The sequence below is a fragment of the Homo sapiens genome, chromosome 1, assembly GCF_000001405.40.
Source record: "Homo sapiens chromosome 1, GRCh38.p14 Primary Assembly".
Classification (NCBI taxonomy): domain Eukaryota; kingdom Metazoa; phylum Chordata; class Mammalia; order Primates; family Hominidae; genus Homo; species Homo sapiens.
This window is the reverse complement of record NC_000001.11, coordinates 221,046,857-221,072,136: the sequence shown is the minus strand read 5'-3', so window position 1 is coordinate 221,072,136 and position 25,280 is coordinate 221,046,857. Positions and strand designations below refer to the sequence as shown.

General features: G+C 38.3%; 1 long non-coding RNA gene across 3 annotated transcripts in view, besides 2 other annotated features; it reads right to left on the bottom strand.

Moving 5' to 3' along the window:
• LOC101929750 (uncharacterized) overlaps positions 1 to 25,023 on the bottom strand; it is a 60,750-nt gene extending 35,727 nt beyond the window's left edge. For all 3 annotated transcript variants that reach the window (XR_001738477.2, XR_001738478.2, XR_001738479.2), the window contains exons 1-3: positions 24,937 to 25,023; positions 12,719 to 12,895; positions 5,035 to 5,178 (exon numbers count right to left, since the gene is read on the bottom strand). This is a non-coding gene — a long non-coding RNA (uncharacterized LOC101929750). The remainder of the gene's footprint in view (positions 1 to 5,034; positions 5,179 to 12,718; positions 12,896 to 24,936) is intronic.
• Positions 2,944 to 2,993: a silencer, noted in NCBI's record as "silent region_1828". NCBI's record gives its function as "represses an Ori minimal core promoter by ATAC-STARR-seq in GM12878 lymphoblastoid cells {active_cell/tissue: GM12878}" and the evidence as "EXISTENCE:reporter gene assay evidence [ECO:0000049][PMID:35858748]".
• Positions 24,671 to 24,740: an enhancer, noted in NCBI's record as "active region_2558". NCBI's record gives its function as "activates an Ori minimal core promoter by ATAC-STARR-seq in GM12878 lymphoblastoid cells {active_cell/tissue: GM12878}" and the evidence as "EXISTENCE:reporter gene assay evidence [ECO:0000049][PMID:35858748]".
• Positions 25,024 to 25,280: the final 257 nt, after the last annotated feature.

Sequence of the window (25,280 nt, the reverse complement as noted above, 5' to 3'; positions counted from 1 at the left end):
ATGAATAAAAAGTAGAAAAATATCATCTTCCAGATGTTTCATCTAGGTTATAACAGCATATTTTCACTTTCCATGCAGATGTTTGGCATGTAAATGTAGGCTGTGACTAAGATACTGAAAAGCACTGATTGAGAAATCAGAAAAATGTCATTTTTATATTGTCCACAAACGGCCACTGAAATATTTTTTCAACTTATTTTTGGCCTATCTTAAACATATAATTGGCCATGAAATTACTAGCTCTGTAATCTCATAAGCTAAATGAAACATTGATATGACTTCTCAATTTTCTGTTTTGCTCATGTATATCCCCTTGCTTTGTTCTCTGAGCATCTGATTAAGGAAGTACTCAGTTTCCTAAAGCCAGAGGATTCCAGTCCCACTGAAACCTGCTCGTGCCTTCACCCTCATAGTCTCCCAGTGAGTGCAGTATCCTGGAAATTTGGAGTCTGACAAACCATAACAGCTAAAGTTTGATCATGGAAGCACAGCCACCACAAGTGATATGAAATAAATGGTTTACTGAAGAGGTTAGACTCGACAGCATTGTGGGAACTTATAAAGAAGCCTATGGGAGGCTGTTGCCTTTGCATCTGGCAGTAGCCTTGAAGTCACTAGAGGTCAAGAAGGCTGGCAATCAGGAAGACAAGCTGGACATGAACAGAGAGACAAGACAAACTAAAACCCACATCTGTATCTCATGGCCTCCAACCTCAACAATATAGATAACTTGCAGAAGAGACTGGTGTCCTTTGCCGTGAAGCTGCACAAGGTTCCTGCCATGGCTCAGGACTCAAAGAACTGAAAGGAAGAGATCTGCTGAAAACTAGAGAAGCTGTGGACCCAGCCATTGCCCCACACCAACGAGGTGAACCAGCAGATAAGTGATGACGTGTAAGTTGACACTGTCATGGTGCCTGGCATCCATATGTCCATCCTCTGAGCATAACAGCTGCTGCTTCACTTCTACCTTCCATATCTCATGCAAATTTTTCTTGTGTCCAACTCCAACCAGGGCCCACACAAGGGAGGGGATTTGGGTATGCTGAACCTCTGGCAGGGAACAAAATCTCCCCATAGCGTCAGGCCTGTTTCCCTGTTCTGGCGTTATCTGGCTGGGGGAATTTGGCAGAGTATTCAATCTCTGCAAAACTCTGTTTCTTCATCCATAAGGTTAACATTTATTAAATCATTTGAAAAGCAAATGTGCCAAGTGTTTATTGTATACAAGTGAACCCAAATTGCTACTCATTCTGCTTATATTCTTGTTGATAACAACATCTTCACTGGGACGTTGTTGTTTGGATTTAATAAGAAGGTAAAAAAGAATCTAGCATATAGGAAAAGCTCAATATATGTTATTAACCCTGTGTGCATGCTCATGACATGTTCATTTTTAGAGTAAGCCAACCTTTGGTGCATCTAATGAGTCAACCTTCCCTTGGAGCTTCCTATGCATGAACCTGAAGAACTACCATCAGGGGCAACCAACTCATGATTGTATTCCCAATGCCATTTGCAGTCATTCCCAGATTTTTAAGGAAATGTCTCACTATGCTGTCTTACCATAGGCAATATAGATAGCCTTGGCTCTCCTCTCTTTAGATTCGTACTCAGAGAACTATCTGCTAGTGAAAAGGAAAAGAGTGCAATCTACCAGGCAAAATAGAAAGTTAAGGTATGGAAGGTGCTCACTTTCCAAACAGCTGCTACAGTGCTATTATTAATACTGCCATGGTTATTTTCACGTAGGATATCTAGCACAGAAGGAAAATCAATCTCCAGCCAGGTCTGGGAGGACTCAGAACAGAGCTTCAAGGAGAGCATAACAAATGCCCCAAACTCCTTCTGCTTACTTCACTTAAAGTCTTATTAGTATCATCATTTCCAACTGGGCAACAACCACATCTGCCTCCCTTCTGCTTTCTCAGCCATCGCCAGTGGCAAGTTGGTGGTTGGATATTTTAGGTGGGTTCTATATGGTGGTTTTCAAAATTTTGTAACCCAAAACTTAGCTCTCCCTTCTGCATGGAACTATTGTGATTTAAAATTAGTAGTCAAGGTAGTTCCTCAATTAAGGAGTATTTGGAACAGGGAAAGTCTGCCTGAATAATGTCTGATTCTATACTTTCACGTGAATGTACTCCAACATGTACATCCATAGGTAATTCTGTATTATGGGGGTTATTAAAAAATATAAAGTTTGAAGATATCTTCGAGTCATTTTACCTGCTAGAACAATACTTGTCTAGTATCAGTTAACTGGTCACAAAGGAGAGGTCTTGTCTTACTCTCAACAGTCTCTGATGGTGTCATTTGAACACTGACACATGCAGATATTTTCTCTCTTTCTTTCTCATATGTGGTCTTGTTGAAACTCCACAATAACTGCGTTTGGAATCTACAGTCATATAAATTTAGATCATCATGGGAGATAATTATACTGTGGAAATGATACGATATTTACATGTCGAAAAGGAGTCATAATTCTTCGAAATAGATGCCTGCTAGCTTTCTTAAGAACTCATTTCACAAATTCAAGTTGAAACAAATGAATACATGTTCCTCTTTTTGCTTCCTCTTTTGAGCAATTTTATGATTGAAAAAAAAAGACACATTACCACAATGGAAAATACCTCATTTTTCCATTAAAATGTGCTCTTTTTAAACAGCTATCCCCCCACCCACTTCCCTGTTTATTGGGTTAAAAGGAGCCATTTCTAGGAGACCAAGCCAAAGTCTCAGCAAGGAGGTGGAAAGCTAGGTGCTTGGAAGGCTAGTCTGTTACCTACCCTACACTACAATGACTGTGGCAGCATCAACAACAGCACCAAACCAGCCAGCTGGAAAGTGAGAACAAATCATTCTAGTGACTGACAGTTTGGTCCCCTCTGTGTCCCAGGAGAGGCCAGGCTGATTTTCACCCACAGCGGGAGGCACTGGTTCAATCAGGTCTTCTTGCAGCTAGTGGATCCAGAATCAGAATGTTCTTATACAAATACCACTTTGTGTCCTGAAAAAGAGAGATTCCACATGGACCCAAACTACAGGTGTTTGTACAAGAACATTCTGTGGAATCTCTCTTTTTGAGGATGCAAAGTGCTATTTGTATAAAATGGCTTCATTTCACCAGCAATTTTGATTTCATTTTTCAGCCTAATTTGGGTAAAAAAAATGAAACCAAAATTGCTAATGAAATAAAAACCAATGTTTCATGGGTTGAATTTTTAACTTTTTGTATTAGCCCAACAGCGTCCATCTCTTCTAGTTAAATATCGACTTCTCTCCAGGTAGATATTCTAAAGACAAATGGAAAATTCAAACAAGTATGCTGACCTATAAAATGATGTCGACAAATAGTTTAAAGGGTTGACCAAATACTTTGCTCCTTAACTTGATTCTCTCCTTTTTAGTTAGACAGTTACAGTGTCATCAGAGAGAAAATAAGGAAACTAAAGATTGTTCAGGATTTGGCTCCTCACACTAATTTTATTCTCATGAGTTAAGATTTCCTTGATTCAAAATAGGGCTCTTCCCCTTTTGTTCATCTTTCCACAAGGTTCACACTCTCCTAAGGCCTGGGATTTCTCCTTAGACAGCTTCATCCCTACAATTATCTCAGGATCTGTGCAGATTCTCCACACATGGTGTTATTCATAGCATGCAGATGGGGTATTCCTATTCCTAATAATTTAGGTTAGAAAAGTACATTATGGATAAAATACAGCAATCTCTTAATGATCTCTTCTACATGGATAGCAAGCAGAAGTGCTCATGAATTCTAGGTAATTTAAGTTTATACATATCAGAAAATATTACCAAAAGCTTCCAACCATTTCTCTCTTCTCTCTCTCTCTACATACATTCTCATTCTCTCTCTCTCTCCCTCCCTCAAAAAGTATCTCTGCAGCATTTCACACAAGAAATTAATTAAATCCCATTGATTCTTTCTGGGAAATATGCTACTGAGCAGGAACATCCACTTAAGATGAAAAATACTAAAGGTGAGGAAGAGAAGCAAAAGTTTAGGATAATCTTCATGCTGGATTATAACTTAAATCCTGAATAACCTGGATTTGGCTGAACTTCACTCTTTTTTATGTTGTTTTCTTTTTTCAAATAAACTTCAAGGCATGAGATCGTGGTACTAAAATAGAAATACAGTGGAATCATGTTATTGCAAAAATTTGGCAAAGCTACTGGTGAAATCATGTCCCCTGAAACATAACAATGACATACAGTAAAAGCACAATTCATTTCAATGTGCCCATAAAGAGAGTGTTAGCTGTTCCTCAGAGTCTACACTGTAAAAGGGTTTCAGCATATTTAGTGAACCAACATTCAACTCAGTAATTCTTATCTTGCCAATAGCATATGTGGTATGTTAAAATCCACCTCTCAGTAAATTGCCGTGTGGCATATAAAATGTATTAAAAGTACACGAAGCAAAGTTGTTCTAAGGGTCTGCATTTCATTTTGATGTCTGATCATCGGTGTATTATTTTCCTGTTCTATTATTGTTATTATTTAATTTGTCTATGGTGCTTGATCTTGATGGGGAGAGGAGAAAGAGAACTAGTGGGTGGGATTTTTTTTGACATGTATCAAAGGGGTGATAGACAAAAATAGAGCTGAGATTGTTAAGCCTCAACACACCATGCCTTCTGACACCAAGATTTGTCCATGCCACCAGATTGCTGGGATTTTGCCTCCTGCTCACAATCTAATTACCAGGCTCCAAACACAAATGTGCTAGCATCCCACACAGAACATTAAGTTGATGCTGCTGAGCCAGCCTGCACTGAGGCACAGGGTGACAGGAGTTTCCAGGTTTCTTTCACTGCTTGCTTCCAGTTACATGGTTCCATAGCCCCAACCTCTGCTGGCACAACCAGATTCCTTCCACTGAGCACCATATCATTTCACTCCAGTTAGGTGCAAAGGAATATATCTGAGAACGTGTGAGAAGCCCACAGATTTTCCAAGCCTGTGTTTAAAGCATTTGTGAAGACAAAAAGAAGTGAGATGGCTTACATGTTCCATTCAGTGACATGAATTATCTACGGTGATGGAGGGCCTGTTCCAGGAGGGAGAGGGGAGTGAAGTTGAGGCACTGGCCACTTCCTGCTCTTGATGTCGCTGGTCCTGAGACTTCTGAGCTGGTGACTTGTCCCATTCCTGTGTGCGAGGTCCACAAATAAGCTGACATCAAAGATTGTTACAGTGAGAAGTAGACGGGCAGCTCAGTTTAGGATGAGGAGTGGAGAGAGAAGAAAGGAAGTCATTTCCATATAACAGTTGTTTAAAGGAAATTTAAAGCAGATGCTTCCAAGACTGGACACTAGACAGAAACTAGGCCTTTGGGGAGGCTAATAAAATTCAAGTGATGAAGGTCTTCTTTGGGGAAAAGCTGTGTTTTTCATAGGCCCTATGTGAGACCACAAGAGTCAAAGAATTCACTGGAAATATGAAACTGATTTGCATCATTTCTATGAAGAGGCAGACAAAATGTATGGCAATTTAAATATTTTGTCTTTCAACCACTTAAGATGATACGTCACTGGACACAGTCTGGCATTCAGAGTGTCTTAAGAGAAAAAAGAATGTTCCTAGAAGGTGAATGTACTAAGTCCAGAAATCATAAGACCCAGAAGACACTTGAGGCAAGGAATTTTAAAAGTCAGAATGCACGTGCTAATGCCTTTCCTAGGATCCAACTAGAAAACCTCATTTCCCTTCTTGAATATAACCTTTTCAAGTTTTATTTCTCCAAAATGAAATCTTACTTCCTTCCCAATTTGCTTCTCTCCTGAGTTCAGCAAAATTTGTCTTAGCATGAAGACTACCCAGAAAATTTACCCAGGAGAAACAGATTTATATAAAAGATGATCTTATATTTCATCATGGATAATCCTGTGTCATTCATTCATCACTAAGCAATTAACCCCTATGTACCATATAATATGTTCCATGATACTATCAATGGCCTTCTTTCTCTTCTTGGTAGTTGGGAGTTTTGTGTTAAATCAGAAGTTTTATATGCTTTCTGAGTATTTTGCTTCTCAAAAACTGTATTATTTTTATTTTAATTACAAAAAGGATACATGTTTTGTGTAAGTAAAAAAATATAGCAATACATGAAGAGAAAGCTAAGCCCACCTTCCTAAGGTAACCCATGTTAGTAATTTGGTGTGTATCCTTCTGTTCTTTCCCTCATACTCATACAAGCATATGTTGATGTAGAGAAAAACTGTCTTTATGTTTGGTAATGAGCTCATTCTATAAACATTATTCAGTATCTTGCTTTTCTTTGCTTTTTTTCCACAGCAGAATATTATAGACCTATTGAAAACACTGGCTTCTCAAATATGGCAAAAAACACTGAATTCCAGAAAACTTTAAATTACTCATATTTGCTTATGGATAGGTAGAAACCTGCTACAATAAGGTAAGAAAATACCAATTGTAATACTAACTAAAATACCCAGATTCAAAGTTATTTTCTTTAAAGAAATAAACTGTCTATTTTAGCAAAATAAGTTTAAAGGAAGGGAGGTCCCATAGAATGTTTAACACTCATTTCTTTCCCTCTTTCTTTTAAATATCTTTCTCAGAGACTGGCACCTGAATCATTTCCTACCCCTAAACTTTAATTGTTTTCATTTGCTTATGAACTTTAAATTGTTCATATTTGCTTATGGATAGGTAGAAACTTGCTACAGTAAGGTAAGGAGATACCAATTGTCCCCTTTCTTCAAAATACTTCCTCTGGCTTCTGAAGCTCTGTATAAACTGCCCACATTTCTGAAAGTAGTTGAAAAAACTGCCGATGCCCCTGGGAAAGTGAGATCATAGGGAGCCATCGTCATCATCCATGGACATCGGGCTAGGAAGACTGGCTGTCAGTACATAGCTGAGTCCTGAAGGAACACGGGAAAGACTCACAAGTGTTGACAGGAAAGAGGATGGGCCAGTAGGGGTGGGAAATCATTCAGATGCCAGTCCCTGAGAAGGATACTTGAAAGAAAGAGGCAAAGGAATAAGGGTTATAAAAATGCAATGGGACCTCCCTTCCTTTTAACCTATTCTGTTAAAATAGACATTTTATTTGTTTAAAGAAAATAACTTTGAATTTGGATTTTTTTTATATAGTATTGCATCAATGTTAATCTTTCTGAATCTGGTCACTATATTGTTGTTATTTAGGAGACTACCCTTGTTCTTTGGATATGCATAATGAAGTAATTATGGAGAAGGGTAATAGTTATTGCAACTTACTCTCAAATGCTTCCAAAAGGAAAGGGAATAAAGAGGGGAAGGAAGAGGAAGAAGGGGTAAAAGAGAAGAACAGAAAAAAAAAAGGTAATAAGTGTTCCTATAATATTGACTAATTTCTTATTTGCTTCAATGCTTTTTGTTTGTTTCAATGCTTAATCTAAATTAAATTTCTTCATTCTCACTCTTAAAAAGGAAGGAGGAAGAGAACCCAGCACAGAAAGTACAGGAAAACATCATTCCTTAACCTCTTTAAAATTCTTTCATAAAGTAAACCACCTCATTCATCAAAGATGTGATTTTATGTACAATAAAGTATTTTTAAAGGTTTTGCAATTTTGTGGATCTTTCAGAAATTTAGCCAAAAAAATTCAAGAGTGCCATGAGCTCAACTGAACAGACCTTTGAGACAATCAAGTCCAATCCCTTCATCATACATTATGCAAGTAAGCAGACAGGAAAGGAAGAAACTTTTGACAAAATTTCAGAATGGTTTCTAACCATATCTTTTTAGGATTAATTTCCTCTCTAATAGTTATTTTGAAGGCCAAATTCTCATTTTGAGTTACATGGTAAGTACACATTCCATTAACTATGTATTTTTAATGGAGAAAAAATGCTGTCCACATTTATCTGTATATGATAGTTGCTTCAAAATATTGTTTCATGTTAAGTGTCTTTGGTTTGTTTATTTCATGTGTTTTTTTTTTTTAATTAAACTTAAGAGAAGGGAAGTCAGTTATATTGTATCCGTATTTTTACTGACCATGTTCTTTCTTCCTGATGTTCTAAGGGTTCTTCTTTCGGCATTTCTTTTCCATGTAGAGAGCTTCCTTCAGCTGTTCTTTTAAAGCAGATCTGCTGGTGACAGATTCTTAGTTTTTCTTCATCTGAGAAGGCTTTGATTTCCCATTGATTCCTGAAGGATACTTTGACTAAGTATAGGAATTCTAGGTTAACAGTTATTTTCTTTCAGCACTTGAAAAATGTTGCACCACTTCCTTCTGGGATCTATAGTTCCTGGTGAGAAATATGTTGTCATTCAAATTATTTTTTGCCCTGCAAGTAAGGTGTTATTTTTCTGTCACTAAGCACTTTGAAGCTTTTTAAAATTGTCTTTAGATTTCAAGTTTGACTCTATTGTGTCTTCATATGGATGTCTTTGGATTTATCTTCCTTGGAGTTTACCCAGCTTCTCAAATTTGTAGGTTTACATCTTCTGCCAAATTGGGAACATTTTCAGTCATTATTTCTTAAAGTGCTTCTTTAGTCCTATCTCTTTCTTCTCTCTTTCTAGGTCTCTGATTACACATTATATCTTCTATTATATTCTCCCAGGTCCCTAAGGCTCTGTCCTTTTTTTTCAGTTATTATTTTCTCTACATTGTTCTAATTGAGTAATATCTGTTGTTCTGTCTTCCAGTTACCTGATTCTTTTCTCTGTTCCCTCCATACTGCTCTTTAGCCTGTCCATTGTGTTTCTTATATTGATTGTTATATTTTTCAGTTCCAAAATTTCTCATTGAATTATTCTTTATATTTTCTCTTTCTTTCTTGAGACTTTCTATTTATTAAAGTTTTCTGTTTTTACAATTTGTAATTTTAGTATATTCTGTAATGTTTTTAATTGCTTGTTGAGGCATCTTAGGACAGCTGCTATAAAATTCTTGATCATTCTAATATCTCTATCAGCTTAGTGTTGGCAACTATTGATTGTCTATCTTCATTCAGTTTCAGATCTTCCTGGTTCTTGGTTTAAGAAGTGATTTTCATTTGAAACATGGACAGTTTGGGTATTAAAAGACTCAAGATGTTATTTAAACCTTCTGTTTTAGCTGTTTTCTTCTGACACAGTCCTGGCAGGGAAAGTAGGGTGCCACCTCATTCCTAGCCAATGAAGGTAAAAGTCCAGGTTGTCACTTAGCTTCCATTGCCACATTGGGGTGGGGGATGCCACTTGTTACCGCTGGACAGAGGTAGGAGCTGCTTCTCCCCACCTGAGCTCCTCTAATACCAAGGGAGCAGGGTGGCCACAAGTGGTGGTAAAAGTCCTGACTCTCCACTAAGCTTTTTCTGACACTACTGCACCAGTGGCTGTGGGTGGAAGTCTAGAATCCCCATGTAGTCTCCACTGACATCAAAAGTAGAGGAAAAAGGAGGCAGAGGGAATACTCAGTGTGGATGAAACTCCCAGCTCCCTGCTCAGATTTTTCTGACATCACCCCAGTGGAGGTGGCATACAACACTTCACTATCCCTCTGAAGGGAGCAAATCTATGCTCCCCACTTGGCCTTTGCTGGTGGGAGTGAGGTTGGAGCCGCTGTATTTTTCTGTAGCATTGGCTGGAGTACAGCAGTTATTGTCAAAGTTTTCTATCTTGCTAGGCTGCCTATTGGCTGGCCTTTGGCTAGAGAAAGTAGGCTTTTGGAAGGGACATTTTTGTCTGCTCCTATTGGCATTTCCAGGTTGCTGGCTTTGTTAGTTTCAAGTCTCAGATACGTGAGGCCAAAAGAAAACCCAGGGAACTTTCCACAGTGTTGTTTCTTGGGTTCCAAGTTCCCTAGTTCTGCCTTCTTCTCTTGACCTTTAGAGTCTTCTTTTGTTTGTGTTACATATTTTGTTCAGGGTTTTTGTTTTGTTTTGTTTTGTTTTGCTTTTGGAGATGGAGTCTCGCTCTGTCACCCAGGCTGGAGTGCAGTGGTGCGATCTGGGAAGAGTATATCTATTTCATATTCCCGAAAACAGAAGTCCATTTTAGGTGAGGTTATTTTTTTTTAATTTTTTATTTCCATAGGTTTTTGGGGAACAAGTGGTATTTTATTACATGAGTAAGAACTTTAGTGGTGATTTGTGAGATTTTGGTGCACCTGAGCAGTATACACTGAATCCAGTTTGTATTCTTTTATCCCTCACCCCTCCCACCCTTTCGCCTGAGTCCCCAAAGTCCATTGTATCCTTCTTATGCCTTTGCATCTTCATAGCTTATCTCCCACTTATGAGTGAGAACATACAATGTTTGGTTTTCCATTCCTGAGTTACTTCCCTTAGAATAATAGTCTCCAAGTTGCTATGAATGTCATTAATTCATTCCTTTTTATGGCTGAGAAGTACTTAGGTGAGGTTATTTTAAAGTAATTAATATTGAGTAAAGAAGATTCATCCATAGTGGCAAAGCCACATAACTTCTGAGTATCTTAAACTATGTCTAAATGGTACCAAAACATGCAGTCAATTCTAAAAGTTCAGCTAATGATATTTAATAATATAGAAAAATATTCACAATGTATTTTTGTGTAAAAAAGGAGATTTTAAAATGGAATATGTATTATGATTCCAATCATGTAAAAGTTATACATGAACACATACAAAGATTAACAGATATAAACAAAGGGATGAATGAATGGAGAGATAGATGATAGATTGAGTAGCGGTAGAGAATAACAGTTTTTTAAAAAAAGTTTTTGCCTTTCTGTATTTTCAAAACCATCTAAATTAATAAGCATTACCTTTGTAGTTAGAAAAGAATATGTATTTTAAACCCATAATTCAACTATTTATCTGCATGATGCCAAACTAGCTTAGGTTGAATTATCAGCCTGTGAATAAAATAGTTCCTTCATCCCTAGAGAAACATCCATTTATAACATTCTTTGAATTCCTCTTCTACTAGAATTCTTTATGAATTTAAAATAGAAACATGATCAGACTCAAGATTTCAATACAAAGATTACTTTTTCATGTTCAATAATAAGCAATTAAAAGAATTAATGAAAAATCTGATTCATAGTATCAACAAAAGCTGTGAAATTCTAAGAACAAAAATAAAAAGAGTTATGTGTAAGACCTAGAAATATAAAGAAAACCATAAAACATTAGTGAAGTAAATATAAAAGACCTAAGTTAATGGAGAGACATAGTATGTTGCTATTGATGAAGGATTAATATGCCAATTTTTTCCATATTAATAGATGAATTCTATGTACAATTCCAACAAAAAATATAAAACATTTTTATGAGAAGGTAGCTATTATGTTTCTTCTACAGTTCTTCTGAAAAAATTAATAAATACTGGCAATACACTTTTTTTCTTACAAAGAAGAATGAGAGAGTGCTTAGTTTACCACAAATCAAAAGATACTATAAAGGTACCACAAAACTAATATAAATAGCTGCATTAGAATAAACAATTTAGTGAACAAAATAGATGCATCATTAGACAAAAATATAGGAATGTAGTATTTCATAAAAGTGGCATTTCAAGTTAGAGGGAAACTGTAGATTGTTTAATATTGGGAAAGTTGGCTAATAATTTCAGAAAAATAGAATATTATACTCTGCTTCAAATCAAATTTGTAAGAGGGCTCCAGTTAAGATTTAAACACTTTTAAATGTTATATTTTACAAGAAAATATATGAGACGATTTTACATTCTTGAAGTAAGAAAGGCTTTTAAATAATTACCCAAACTCACTAGTTATAAAGTCAATGGTTGATGTTCAACTTCATAAATATTTAAAATGTGTTTGTGTTGAAAGACTCCATAAGCAAAGCCAAATGACAAAAAAAACTAGGAGAAAGTATTTTAACACATATAACAAACTAAATTTAATAATTTAACATTCATAAAATATGAAAAATCCCTACCATTAGAAAGTAAGTAAACAATCCAATAGATAAACAAACAAGGCACAGATATCATAGAAAAAGAAATATACATGGCTAATTATGCAGTGAAAAGATTATTAGTGTCACTAATATCAAAGAAAAGTATGTTGAAAAGAATGAAGTGTTATTTTCATCTATCATATTGGCAAAAATTTTATAGAATTCATTGTTAAGGACACCTTGAAATGAACATTTTCATATACTGTTGCTAGGAGTTTAAATGTAGTAATTTAAATTTTACTTTTTAGAGGATATTCTTATAGAATTTATTAAAGTTTCAAATGCATACATCTGGAACTCAGCAATCCCACTTGAAAAAACTCACCCTACAGAAATATGAGAGTATGTTTACAAAGATTTATATGTGAGTTAGTTCACTGCAGCACTGTTTATGTATAACAACAACAAATTGCTAGCAACCAACATCCATCTACAATTAGGAGACAGTTAAATAAACAAAGTTACCTTTAAAAACAGTATGCAGCTGCTTGAAAAATAAGATAGTTCTTTATATACTGACCTGGAAATAACTTCACGATATACAATTAAGTGGAAAACAGGAAGTTGCAGAAAAATACAATTATTGTGTATAATTCACATGCTCCCAAATTCTCCAAACTTATTCTGGCTCACATTTCCTTTAATGGCTAAATAACCATTTCCTTCCTGTTTGAAGAAGTTCAGTCTTCCATCAGATTCCTCTCCCTAGGTATTTCTGAGGAATCTCTGGAGAATACCTCTAGGTTCCATGAGTCCTTCCTGGTTTATAGCTTCTTACCTCAGCCAGCAATCTTGTTTTGGATCCTGTCTCTCTCCCTGAGGTGTCTTCTTAGACTCTTGCAACCAAGTCTTCAACTGCAGTCATTTCTCACTCTAAACGTGGAATTTGATCTCAGTCTTATTCTCAAATGTAACTGCAACCAGGCAGTCAGATTAATAAAGATGTACTGAAGGCCTGAGAATAAAAGAACATAATTATAAAGTAGAAAAGAGTAATAATAAATAATAAACACTTGTATAACATACTGTTCTAAGTATAAAAGATACATGCATACATACATACATACATACATACATACATACATACATACATAGACACATAGACAGATTACTCCTCACAATAGCCCTAGGGGGTGAATACTACTATTAGCCTCATATAATAGACTTGGAAACTGAGGCATGGAGAGAATACTTTCTTGCCCATGGTTACACAGGCTGCAGACTGTCCCCAGACTCAATGAATACCATTCTGTGTCCCTCACCAGCAGCTCCCTGCCCAGCCATCTCTCCTTATAGTCTTCTGGCCCCAGAAAATCACTAGCACGCTGTCTCTTTCCCATCCCCAAACCCACCTCTGCCCTACAAGGCTCCTCACATTCCTGAGAGATAGAAAGAAATCATTCCATCTCCCAGTCAACATGATCATCTTCTCTGGAAAGATGTGACAGCCCTTTACCTGATTTTGAAGGTAATTCCCCATTCCGTGACAGAATATAGCCAAAGGGGCTACTGAAAATGTCTTCCTAATCCAAAATGCAGTCTAATAAAGCCATATGCCTATACCCAACTGATTTTCAGTAATATAAAAAAAAATTTACACTGGACAAAGGACACCATATTTAATAAATGATGCCAGGAAAATAGGATATCCATATGCAAAAGAATGAAACTGGATCCATATCTTTCACTATTAAAAAAAAAAACCCTAGATGGATTAAAGACTTAAATATAAGACACAAAACTATAAAACTTCTAGAAGAAAACCTAGGAAAATCTCTTCTGGACATTGGCCTAGGCAAAGAATTTATGACCATGTCTTCAAAAGCAAATGCAACAAAGACGAAAATAGACAAATGAAACTTAATTAAACTAAAAAGCTCTGGCCGGGCACGGTGGCTCACGTCTGTAATCCCAGCATTTCGGGAGGCCGAGGCGGGCAGATCACGAGGTCAGGAGATCGAGACCATCCTGGCTAACACGGTGAAACCCCGTCTCTACTAAAAATACAAAAAAAATTAGTGGGGTGTGGTGGTGGGCGTCTGCAGTCCCAGCTACTCGGGAGGCTGAGGCAGGAGACTGGCATGAACCCGGGAGGCGAAGCTTGCAGTGAGCAGAGATTGTGCCATTGCACTCCAGCCTGGGCAACAGAGCGAGACTCCGTCTCAAAAAAAAAAAAAAAAAAAAGCTCTCCACAGCAAAAGACACAATCAACAGAGTAAACAAACAACCTACGAAATGAGATAAACTATTTGCAAACTATGCATCCAACAAAGGGCTAATATCCAGAATCTACAAGGAGCTCAAACAACTCCACAGGAAAGAAACAAATAACTCCATTAAAAAGTGGGCAAATGACATAAATAAACATTTTTCAAAAGAAAACATGAAAGCAGTCAACAAACATATGAAGAAATGCTCAACATCACTAATCATCAGAGAAATGCAAATTAAAACCACGAAATAAAATCTTAGACCAGTCAGAATGGCTGTTATTAATTAAAAAGTCAAAAAACAAGAGATGTTGGCAAGGATGCAGAGAAAAGGGCACACTTATACACTGTTGGTCAGAATGTAACTTAGTACAACCTTTCTGGAAAATAGCATGGAGATTTCTCAAAAAACTAAAAAATAGAAAAACCATTTGATCTACCAATCCCATTACTGGGTAAATATCCAAAGGGAAAAAAATAATCAGATCAAAAAGATACCTGCACTTACACATTTAGATGATTGGACAAAGAAAATGTGATATTTATATATCATGTAATATTACTCAGACATAAAAAAGAATAAAAATCATGCTTTTTTGCCCCAACCTGGATAGAACTAGAGATCATTATTCTAATTGAAATAACTCAAAAACAGAAAGTCAAATACTGCATGTTCTCTCTAGCTAAACAATGAATACACATTCACATACAGAGTGGAATAATAGACATTGGAAACTACAAAGGGTGGGCGAGTGGGATGAGGGTGAAGGTTGAAAAATTACCTTTTGGGTACAATTTTCACTATTCGAGTGATGGGTTCACTAAAAGCCCAGATTTCACCACTAGGCAATTTATGAATGTAAGAAATCTGCACTTGTGCCTGCTAGATCTATTTTTTAAATTTAAGATACAATAAATTTGAAAAAGAAAGAAAAAATGAATATTTTAAAAACAAAAAAACAAAAATGCAGTCTAACACTGCTCCCTCTGGATAAATGGCAAACTGTTGAATCTTTGAAAGCATAGAGTCCCTTGCTTCTGGTCATCAAGGCTTCCAGAATACTAGAGTCTGGTCTCAAAGCAACCCATTCTATTAATAACAAAATGGATAAATCAATTTTTTTAAATATACTTATTTTATAGAAAGAAAAGTTCAGAATAACACAGAAAGGTAGTAACAGTGATTACCTCTGAGAACTAGGATTGAATGGAAAGAGGATTTTTACTTTTCATTATATATACTTGTATTATTTGTTGTGTTAAACATAATTACTTTAAACTTAATTAAACTAACAGCTTTAACTTAAATTTAAATTAACTAAAAATTATATTATTTAAACGTATGTGGAAATGTGATCATTCTGACCATATGTATATAATATCAAGAAATAAAAAATTAAGTGGATAAAATCTGACTGTAGTATAACAAACAGTTCTTTTGTATTTTAATTTTTTTCATTTTGCTCACCAAATATTTTAATATCATATTTGAAAGAGACCAACTCTATGTTCCCAATTACAACAGATTATCAATTCTTGGAGCAGATAATAGATCTTCACCCTTGGTAATTAAAAAGCAAGGGCTATTTTTGATGTTATGTTGGATGCCAGGGGACCCAGGGGTTTCAGCCCATAGAAAACCAACCGAGCCTCACTCAGCAAGTAGAGGTGGGGATTAAATTCCCCACATTGACTTCCCCTGGCCCCTGAACTCCAGTCACACCGCTGAAGCCTGACTGACACCATGTGCTCCAGAGAAAGGGCCTGCCAACCCCAACAAGGTGAGGAAGATCACAAAAGTCCTCGAATTCTTGGCTGAGCCAGCTGATTTAACAGTCTCTTTATAGATGATGTTTTTATTTTTGATCCTATAACCCAGAAATTTGATTTTCTTGGAATAGAAAATTTGAATGTGGGTGGGCCTACTTATTTCATATTCCCTCTCTCTCTCTCTTTCTCTCTCTCTCTCTCTCTCCCTCTCTCTCTCTCTCACACACACACACACACACACACATGCACCCTTGTGTCATAGGCTCAAGTCTTTTTCTCCAAGCGTTTGCTTCTCTCTGGAGGTCCTGCTCCCCCTCTGTTCCCCTCAGAGCCTTCCTTGATGACTCTCTTCACTCCCATAAATGGTTCTATCCATCCTACACCCAGCAATTGCCCAAATCACTTCATGGCATCAAGATGACAACAGTAAACAAGCAGAATCATCTTAACATCTTAAGGATGGACGGAGGTCAACTGTGTCTAAATTCACTGTTATTTTTAAATGACTGTTTTCCAACACTGATAACTCTCCCCTAAAAGGACAACAAATCCTCAGCATTTCTGACAACTACACTGAGTCTGTTGGAATACAGTTTCAGCGTTCTTCTACACTTTCCATTTCTTTCTCCTCTCCTTACCCATGTGGCCAAAGAGATACTATGAAATGATTTTCTCGAAGATTTTATTCCAGTCACCATAATCTAGACACAGAGAGCAAGAGGTTAAGGAGTGAATCTCATCCCTAATCACAGTCTTACTCCCAGCCATCCCCTCTGACTCCCCCACACATAGTTTGTATATAAAGCAAAATGTAGGTTTGGTAGGGAAAAGGGCCATAGAACCACAATAGCTGTGAAAACTTAAGTCAAGTCCCCTGCCTTCTTTGCACCACAGTTCCTTATAGTTAGTTATTAAAGCCATTCATAAATAGTCCTCTTCTTCTCTCCTAGTTACATGCTAGAATTTTCTGTCCTTGCTCCCTCTAAAGTTAGGCATAGCCATATGACTTGTTTTGTCTGACAAAATGTGAGCAGAAATGCCACACATCACTTTCAAGTGAAAACTCTCAGAACCAGTGCACGAGATTCCATTTTTCTTCCTCAGAGATCAAGGAAACGTAGTTCAAGATGGGCTCTTTGTCAGCCTTGATCCCTGTATGACTTCAGTGAGGAGAGGCCCCTCTTCCACCCCATGTGGTAGAACTTACAATTTAAATGACTGAGATTTGAGAGTTATTTGTTTTGTAACATAGCCCAATTCATCCTGACTGACACATTATTTATCTATAAAATGGAGTGATGATAATAACACCTAAAAACACCCAGTGTTGCCCTGAAGATCAAATAGATGACTCTCACACAGCACTCAAGCAGCATGCGGCATGTAGTAAATGCTGGATAACTGTTGGTTATCATTCCTTCTAGAAGACACCTCCAGCAAGCCAAACAGATGATTAGAAGCAGATCAAAGGTGTTGTCTTACAGCTAACGTTGAACAACAGCAACAGAAGTATAACTCAGCACCACTCAGAATCATTCTCAAGAGAAAATTCTCCAGACTTCCCCATCCCCATCTCCTCACTGATAACCAGTTACCACCTTATGCTCACTTCTGGCCTGCCCACACAACTCACCCTCATGATGGACATGCCCTTCCCCCACTTCTTCACCTTCTCGGGATGTCTTCCCTGACCAATGTCGACTCATGCAGATTATCCCATATCATACAGCAAACCACTCTTTCAAATGCATATCTTCTGTATGGACTGTATGCATTTCCACATAGCTTTCCTCAAAATAAAAATCTCTATTTTGTAATTGCCTGATTTTCATTTAAAGACAGGAATCATGTGCTTTGTTTCTCTGATGCTTTGCCATTTCCATAGATCCCTCAACATCCCCTCACCATCATTTCACATGAATCCTTAACCCACCCGTTCTGTGGCAGAGACTGGCATTTAGCAGATACTCCATTAATGCTGTCTCCCAACTGGTTTAACATGTGCCAAGATCCACAAAACAAGGTGAAACTAAGGAGGACTTACTGTCAGAGGTGTTTGAGCTAGATCAATTTCATCTTGAATAGGAGCCAGATAAAATGAGGCTGAAACCTACTGGGCTGCATTCCCAGATGGTTAGGCGTTCTAAGTTTCAGGGTGAGATAGGAAGTCAGCACAAGATACAGGTCATACAGCATACATGTTTGCTGATAAAACAGGTTGCAGTAAAGAAGCCAGCTAATTCCCACCAAAACTAAGATGGCAATGAGAGTGAGCTCTGGTCGTCCTCACATCTACATTCCCACCAGCACCGTGACAGTTTACAAATGCCATGGCAACATCGAGAAGTTACCCTGTATGGTCTAAAAAGGGGAGGCATGAATAATCCACCCCTTGTTTAGTATATAATCAAGAAATGACCATAAAAATGGGCAACCAGCAGCCCTCAAGGCTGCTCTGTCTATGGAGTAGTCATTCTTTTATCCCTTTACTTTCCTAATAAACTTACTTCACTTTACTCTATGGACTCACCCTGGATTCTTTCTTGTGCAAAATCCAAGAACTCTCTCTTGGGGTTTGGATCGGGATTCCCTTCCTGTAATGTTAGCAGTGATTAATCATCAAGGTGATTGCAAGGCTTCTTTCACCTACAACAGGATTTCTTTTTTTTTTTTTTAAATTATACTTTAGGTTCTGAGATACGTGTGCAGAACGTGCAGGTTTGTTACATAGGCATACATACACGTGCCATAGTGGTTTGCTGCACCCATCAACCCGTCACCTACATTAAGTATTTCTCCTAATGCTGTCCCTCCCCTAGCCCCCCACCCCTCGACAGGCACTGGTGTGTAATATTCCCCTTCCTGTGTCCATGTGTTCTCATTGTTTAACTCCCACTTATGAGTGAGAACATGATGTGTTTGGTTTTCTGTTCCTGTGTTAGTTTGCTGAGAATAATGGTTCCCAGCTTCATCCATGTCCCTGCAAAGGACATGAACTCATCCTTTTTATGGCTGCATAGTATTCCATGATGTATATGTGCCACATTTTCTTTATCCAGTCTATCATTGATGGGCATTTGGGTTGATTCCAAGTCTTTGCTATTGTGAACAGTGCCGCAATAAACATACGTGTGCATGTGTCTTTATAGTGAATGATTTATAATCCTTAGGGTATATACCCAGTAATGGGATTGCTGGGTCAAATGGTATTTCTACTTCTAGAACCTTGAGGAATTGCCACACTGTCTTCCACAATGGTTGAACTAATTTACACTCCCACCAACAGTGTAAAAGTGTTCCTATTTCTCCACATCCTCTCCAGCATCTGTTGTTTCCTGGTTTTTTAATGATCATCATTTTAACTGGCATGAGATGGTATCTCATTGTGGTTTTGATTTGCATTTATCTAATGACCAGTGATGATGAGATTTTTTTCATATGTTTGTTGGCCACATAAATGTCTTCTTTTGAGAACTGTCTGTTCATATCTTTTGCCTACTTTTTGATTTTTTTTTGTAAGTTTGTTTAAGTTCCTTATAAATTCTGGATATTAGCCCTTTGTCAGATGGATAGATTGCCAAAATTGTCTCCGATTCTGTAGGTTGCCTGTTCACTCTGATGATAGTCTCTTCTGCTGTGCAGAAGCTCTTTAATTAGACCCTATCTATCAATTTTGGCTTTTGTTGTCATTGCTTTTGGTGTTTTAGTCGTGATGTCTTTGCTCATGCCTATGTCCTGAAGGGTATTGCCTAGGTTTTCTTCTAAAGTTTTTATGGTTTTAGGTTTTACATTTAAGTCTTTAATCCATCTTGAGTTAATTTTTGTATAAGATGTAAGGAAGGTGTCCAGTTTCAGTTTTCTGCATATGGCTAGCCAGTTTTCCCAACACCACTTATTAAATAGGGAATCGTTTCCCCATTGCTGGTTTTTGTCAGGTTTGTCAAAGATGAGAGGGCTGTAGATGTGTGGCATTATTTCTGAGGCCTCTGTTCTGTTCCATTGGTTTATATATTTATTTTGGTACCAGTACCATGCTGTTTTGGTTACTGTATCCTTGTAGTATAGTTTGAAGTCAGGTAGCATGATGCCTCCAGCTTTATTCTTTTTGCTTAGGATTTTCTTGCATATATGTGCTCTTTTTTGGTTCCAAAAGAAATTTAAAGTAGTTTTTTCTAATTCTGTAAAGAAAGTCAATGGTAGCTTGATGGGGATAGCATTGAATCTATAAATTGCTTTGGGCAGTGTGGCCATTTTCAAGATATTGATTCTTCCTATCCATGAGCATGGAATGTTTTTCCATTTGTTTCTGTCCTCTCTTATTTCCTTGAGCAGTGGTTTGTAGTTCTCCCTGAAGAAGTCCTTCACATCTCTTGTAAATTGTATTCCTAGGTATTTTATTATCTTTGTAGCAATTGAGAATGGGAGTTCACTTATGATTTGGCTCTCTGTTTGTCTACTATTGGTGTATAGGAATGCTTGTGATTTTTGCACATTGGTTTTGTATCCTGAGACTTTGCTGAAGTTGCTTATCAGCTTAAGGAGACTTTGGGCTGAGACGATGGGGTTTTCTAAATATACAATCATGACATCTGCAAACAGAGACAATTTGACTTCCTCTTTTCCTAATTGAATAGGCTTTATTTCTTTCTCTTGCCTGATTGCCCTCGCCAGGACTTCCAATACTATGTTGAATAGCAGTGGTGAGAGAGAGCATCCTTGTCTTGTGCCAGTTTTCAAACGGAATGCTTCCAGCTTTTGCCCATTCAGTATGATATTGGCTGTGGGTTTGTCATAAATAGCTCTTATTATTTTGAGATACGTACCATCAATACATACTTTATTGAAAGTCTTTAAGCATGAAATGGTGTTGAATTCTATCAAAGGCCTTTTCTGCATCAATTGAGATAATCATGTGGTTTTTGTAATTTGGTTCTGTTTATGTGATGGATTACATTTATTGATTTGCATATGTTGAACCTGCCTTGCATCCCAGGGATGAAGCTGACTTGATCGTGGTGGATAAGCTTTTTGATGTGCTGCTAGATTCAGTTTGCCAGTATTTTATTGAGGATTTTCATATCAATGTTCATCAGTAATATTGGCCTGAAATTTTCTTTTTTTGTTGTGTCTCTGCCAGGTTTTGGTATCAGGATGATGCTGGCCTCATAAAATGAGTTAGGGTTGGAATAATTTCAGAGAGAATAGTACCAGCTCCTCTTTGTACCTCTGGTAGAATTCAGCCATGAATCTGTCTGGTCCTGGTCTTTTTTTTGGTTGGTAGGCTATTAATTACTGCCTCAATTTCAGAACTTGTTATTGGTCTATTCAGGGATTCAACTTCTTACCAGTTTAGTCTCCAGAGGGTGTGTGTGTCCAGGAGTTTATCCATTTCTTCTAGATTTTCTAGTTTATTTGTGTCGAGTTGTTTATAGTATTCTCTGATGGTAGTTTGTATTTCTGTGGGATCAGTGGTGATATCCCCTTTATCATTTTTTGTTGTGTCTATTTGATTCTTCTCTTGTTTCTTCTTTATTAGTCTGGCTAGCAGTCTATCAATTTTGTTCATCTTTTTAAAAAACCAGCTTCTGGATTCATTGATTTTTTGAAGGGTTTTTTGGCATTTCTATCTCTTTCAGTTCTGCTCTGATCTTAGTTATTTCTTGTCTTCTGCTAGCTTTTGAATTTGTTTGCTCTTGCTTCTCTAGTTCTTTTAATTGTGATGTTAGAGTGTCAATTTTAGATCTTTCTCACTTTCTCTTGTGGACATTTAGTGCTATAAATTTTCCTCTAAACACTGCCTTAGCTGTGTCCTAGAAATTCTGGTACATGGTATCTTTGGTCTTATTGGTTTCAAATAACTTATTTATTTGTGCTTTAATTTCGGTATTTACCCAGAAGTCATTCAGGAGCAGGTTGCTCAGTTTCCATGTAGTTGTGTGGTTTTGGGTGAGTTTCTTAATCTTGAGTTCTAATTTGATTGTGTTGTGGTCTGAGGGACTATTTGTTATGATTTCCGTTCTTTTGCATTTGCTGAGGAGTGTTTTACTTCCAATTATGTGGTCAATTTTAGAATAAGCGTGATGTGGTGCTGAGAAGAATGTATAGTCTGTTTGGGGTGAAGAGTCCTGTAGATGTCTATTAGGTCCACTTGGTCCAGAGCTGAGTTCAAGTCCTGAATATCCTTGTTAGTATTCTGTCTCATTGATTTGTCTAATATTGACAGTGGGGTGTTAAAATCTCCCACTATTATTGTGTGGGAATCTAAGTCTCTTTGTAGGTCTCTAAGAACTTGCTTCATGGATCAGGGTGCTCCTGTATTGGGTGGATATCTATCTCGATGGTTAGCTCTTCTTGTTGCATTGATCCCTTTACCATTATGTAATGCCCTTCTTTGTATTTTTTGATCTTTGTTGGTTTAAAGTTTGTTTTATCAGAGACTAGGATTGCAAACTCTGCCTTTTTTTCTCTCTATTTGCTTGGTACTTATCCCTCCATTCCTTTATTTTGAGCCTATGTGTGTCTTTGAATATGAGATGGGTCTCCTGAATACAGCACACTGATGGGTCTTGACTCTTTATCCAATTTGCCAGTCTGTGTCTTATAACTGGGGCATTAAGCCCATTTACATTTAAGGTTAATATTGTTATGTGTGAATTTCATCCTGTCATTATGATGTTAGCTGGTTATTTTGCCCGTTAGTTGATGTAGTTTCTTCATAGTGTTGATGGTCTTTACAATTTGGTATATTTTTGCAGTGGCTGTTACTGGTTTTTCCTTTCCATATTTAGTGCTTCCTTCAGGAGCTCTTGTAAGGCAGGCCTGGTGCTGACAAAATCCCTCAGCATTTGCTTTTCTGTAAAAGATTTTAATTCTCTTTTCCTTATGAAGCTTAGTCTGACTGGATATGAAATTCTGGGTTGAAAATTCTTTCTTTAAGAATGTTGAATATTGGCCCCTACTCTCTTCTGGCTTGTAGGGTTTCTGCAGAGAGATCTGCTGTCAGTCTGATGGGCTTCCCTTTGTGGGTAACCCGACTTTTCTCTCTGGCTGCCCTTAACATTTTTTCCTTCATTTCAAAATTGGTGAACCTGACTATTATGTGTCATGGAGTTGCTCTTCTCAGGGAGTATCTTTGCGGTGTTCTCTGTATTTCCTGAATTTGAATGTTAGCCTGTCTTGCTAGATTGGGGAAGTTCTCCTGGATAATATCCTGAAGAGTGTTTTCTAACTTGGTTCCATTCTCCACATCACTTTCAGGTACACCAATCAAACGTAGTTTTGGTCTTTTCACATAGTTCCATATTTCTTGGAGGCTTTTTTCATTTTTTTTCCCTAATCTTGTCTTCACACTTTATTTCATTAAGTTGATCTTCATTCTCTGATATCCTTTCTTCTGCTTGATCAACTCAGCTATTGATACTTGTGTATGCTTCATGAAGTTCTCATGCTGTGTTTTTCAGCTCCATTAGGTCATTATGTTTTTCTCTAAATTGGTTACTCTAGTTAGCAATTCCTCTAACCTTTTTTCAAGGTTCTTAGCTTCCTTGTCTTGGGTTAGAACACGCTCCTTTAGCTCGAAGGTGTTTGTTATTACCCACCTTCCAAAGCCTACTTCTGTTGATTCATCAAACTCATTCTCTGTCCAGTTTTGTTCCCTTGCTGGTGAGGAGTTGTGATCCTTTAGAGGAAAAGAGGCATTCTGGTGTTTGGAATTTTCAGCCTTTTTGCACTGGCTTTTCCTCATCTTCGTGGATTTATCTACCTTTGGTCTTTGATATTGGTGACCTTCAGATGGGGTTTTTGAGTGGACATCCTTTTTGTTGATGTTGATGCTCTTCCTTTCTGTTTGTTAGTTTTCCTTCTAAAGTCAGACCCCTCTGCTGCAAGCCTGCTGGAGTTTGCTGGAGGTCCACTCCAGACCCTGTTTGCATGTGTATCAGCAGCAGAGGCTGTAGAACAGCAAAGATTGCTGCCCGTTCCTTCCTCTGGAAGCTTCGTCCCAGAGGGGCACTCGCTAGATTCCAGCTGGAGCTCTCCTGTATGAGGTGTCTGTCGATCCTGCTGGGAGGTGTCTCCCAGTCAGGAGGCATGGGGTGCAGGGACCTACTTGAGGAGGCAGTCTGTCCCTTAGCAGAGCTCGAGCGCTGTGCTGGGAGATCGGCTGCTCTCTTCAGAGCCAGCCAGCAGGAATGTTTAAGTCTGCTGAAGCTGTGCCCACAGCCACCCCTTCTCCGACATGCTCTGTCCCAGGGAGATGGGAGTTTTATCTATAAGCACCTGAATGGGGCTGCTGCCTTTCTTTCAGAGATGCCCTGCCCAGAGAGGAGGAATCTAGAGAGGCAGTCTGGCTACAGCAGCTTTGCTGAGCTGAAGTGGGCTCCACCCAGTTCAAACTTCCTGACAGTTTTGTTTACACTGTGAGGGGAAAACTGCCTACTCAAGCTGCAGTAATGGCAGACACCCCGCTCCCCACCAGGCTCGAGCATCCCAGGTCGACTTCAGACTGCTGTGCTGGCAGCAAGAATTTCAAGCCAGTGGATCTTAGCCTGTTGGGCTCCATGGGGGTGGGATCTGCTGAGCAAGTCCACTTGGCTCCCTGGCTTCAGCCCCCTTTTCAGGGGAGTGAATGGTTCTGTCTTGCTGGCGTTCCAGGCACCAGTAGGGCATGAAAAAAAACTCCTGCAGCTACCTCAGTGTCTGCCCAAACAGCCGCCCAGTTTTTGTGCTTGAAACCCAGGGCCCTGGTGCTGTAGGCACCCAAGAGAATCTCCTGGTCTGTGGGTCATGAAGACCATGGGAAAAGCATAGTATCTGGGCCGGAATGCACAGTACCTCATGGCACAGTCCCTCATGGCCTCCCATGGCTAGGGGAGGGAGTTTCCCAATCCCTTGTGCTTCCTAGGTGAGGTGACACCCCACCCTACTTCTGTTCACCCTCCATGGGCTACACCCACTGTCTAACCAGTCCCAGTGAGATGAGCTGGGTACCTCAGTTGGAAATGCAGAAATCACTCACCTTCTGCATTGATCTCACTGGGAGCTGCAGACTGGAGCTGTTCTTATTCAGCCATCTTGCCATTCACCTCAGGATTTTGTACAGTCTGAATGTGGGAGGCCGAGGTGGGCGGATCAACTGAGATCATGAGTTTGAGACCAGCCTGACCAACATGGTGAAACCCCGTCTTTACTAAAAATACAAAAATTAGTCAGGTGTGGTGGCATGTGCCTGTAATCCCAACTAGCTGGGGGCTGAGGCAGGAGAATCACTTGAACCTGGGAGGCAGAGGCTGCAGTGAGCCAAGACCATACCACTGCACTCCAGCCTGGGCAACAGAGCAAGACTCTGTCTCAAAAAACAAA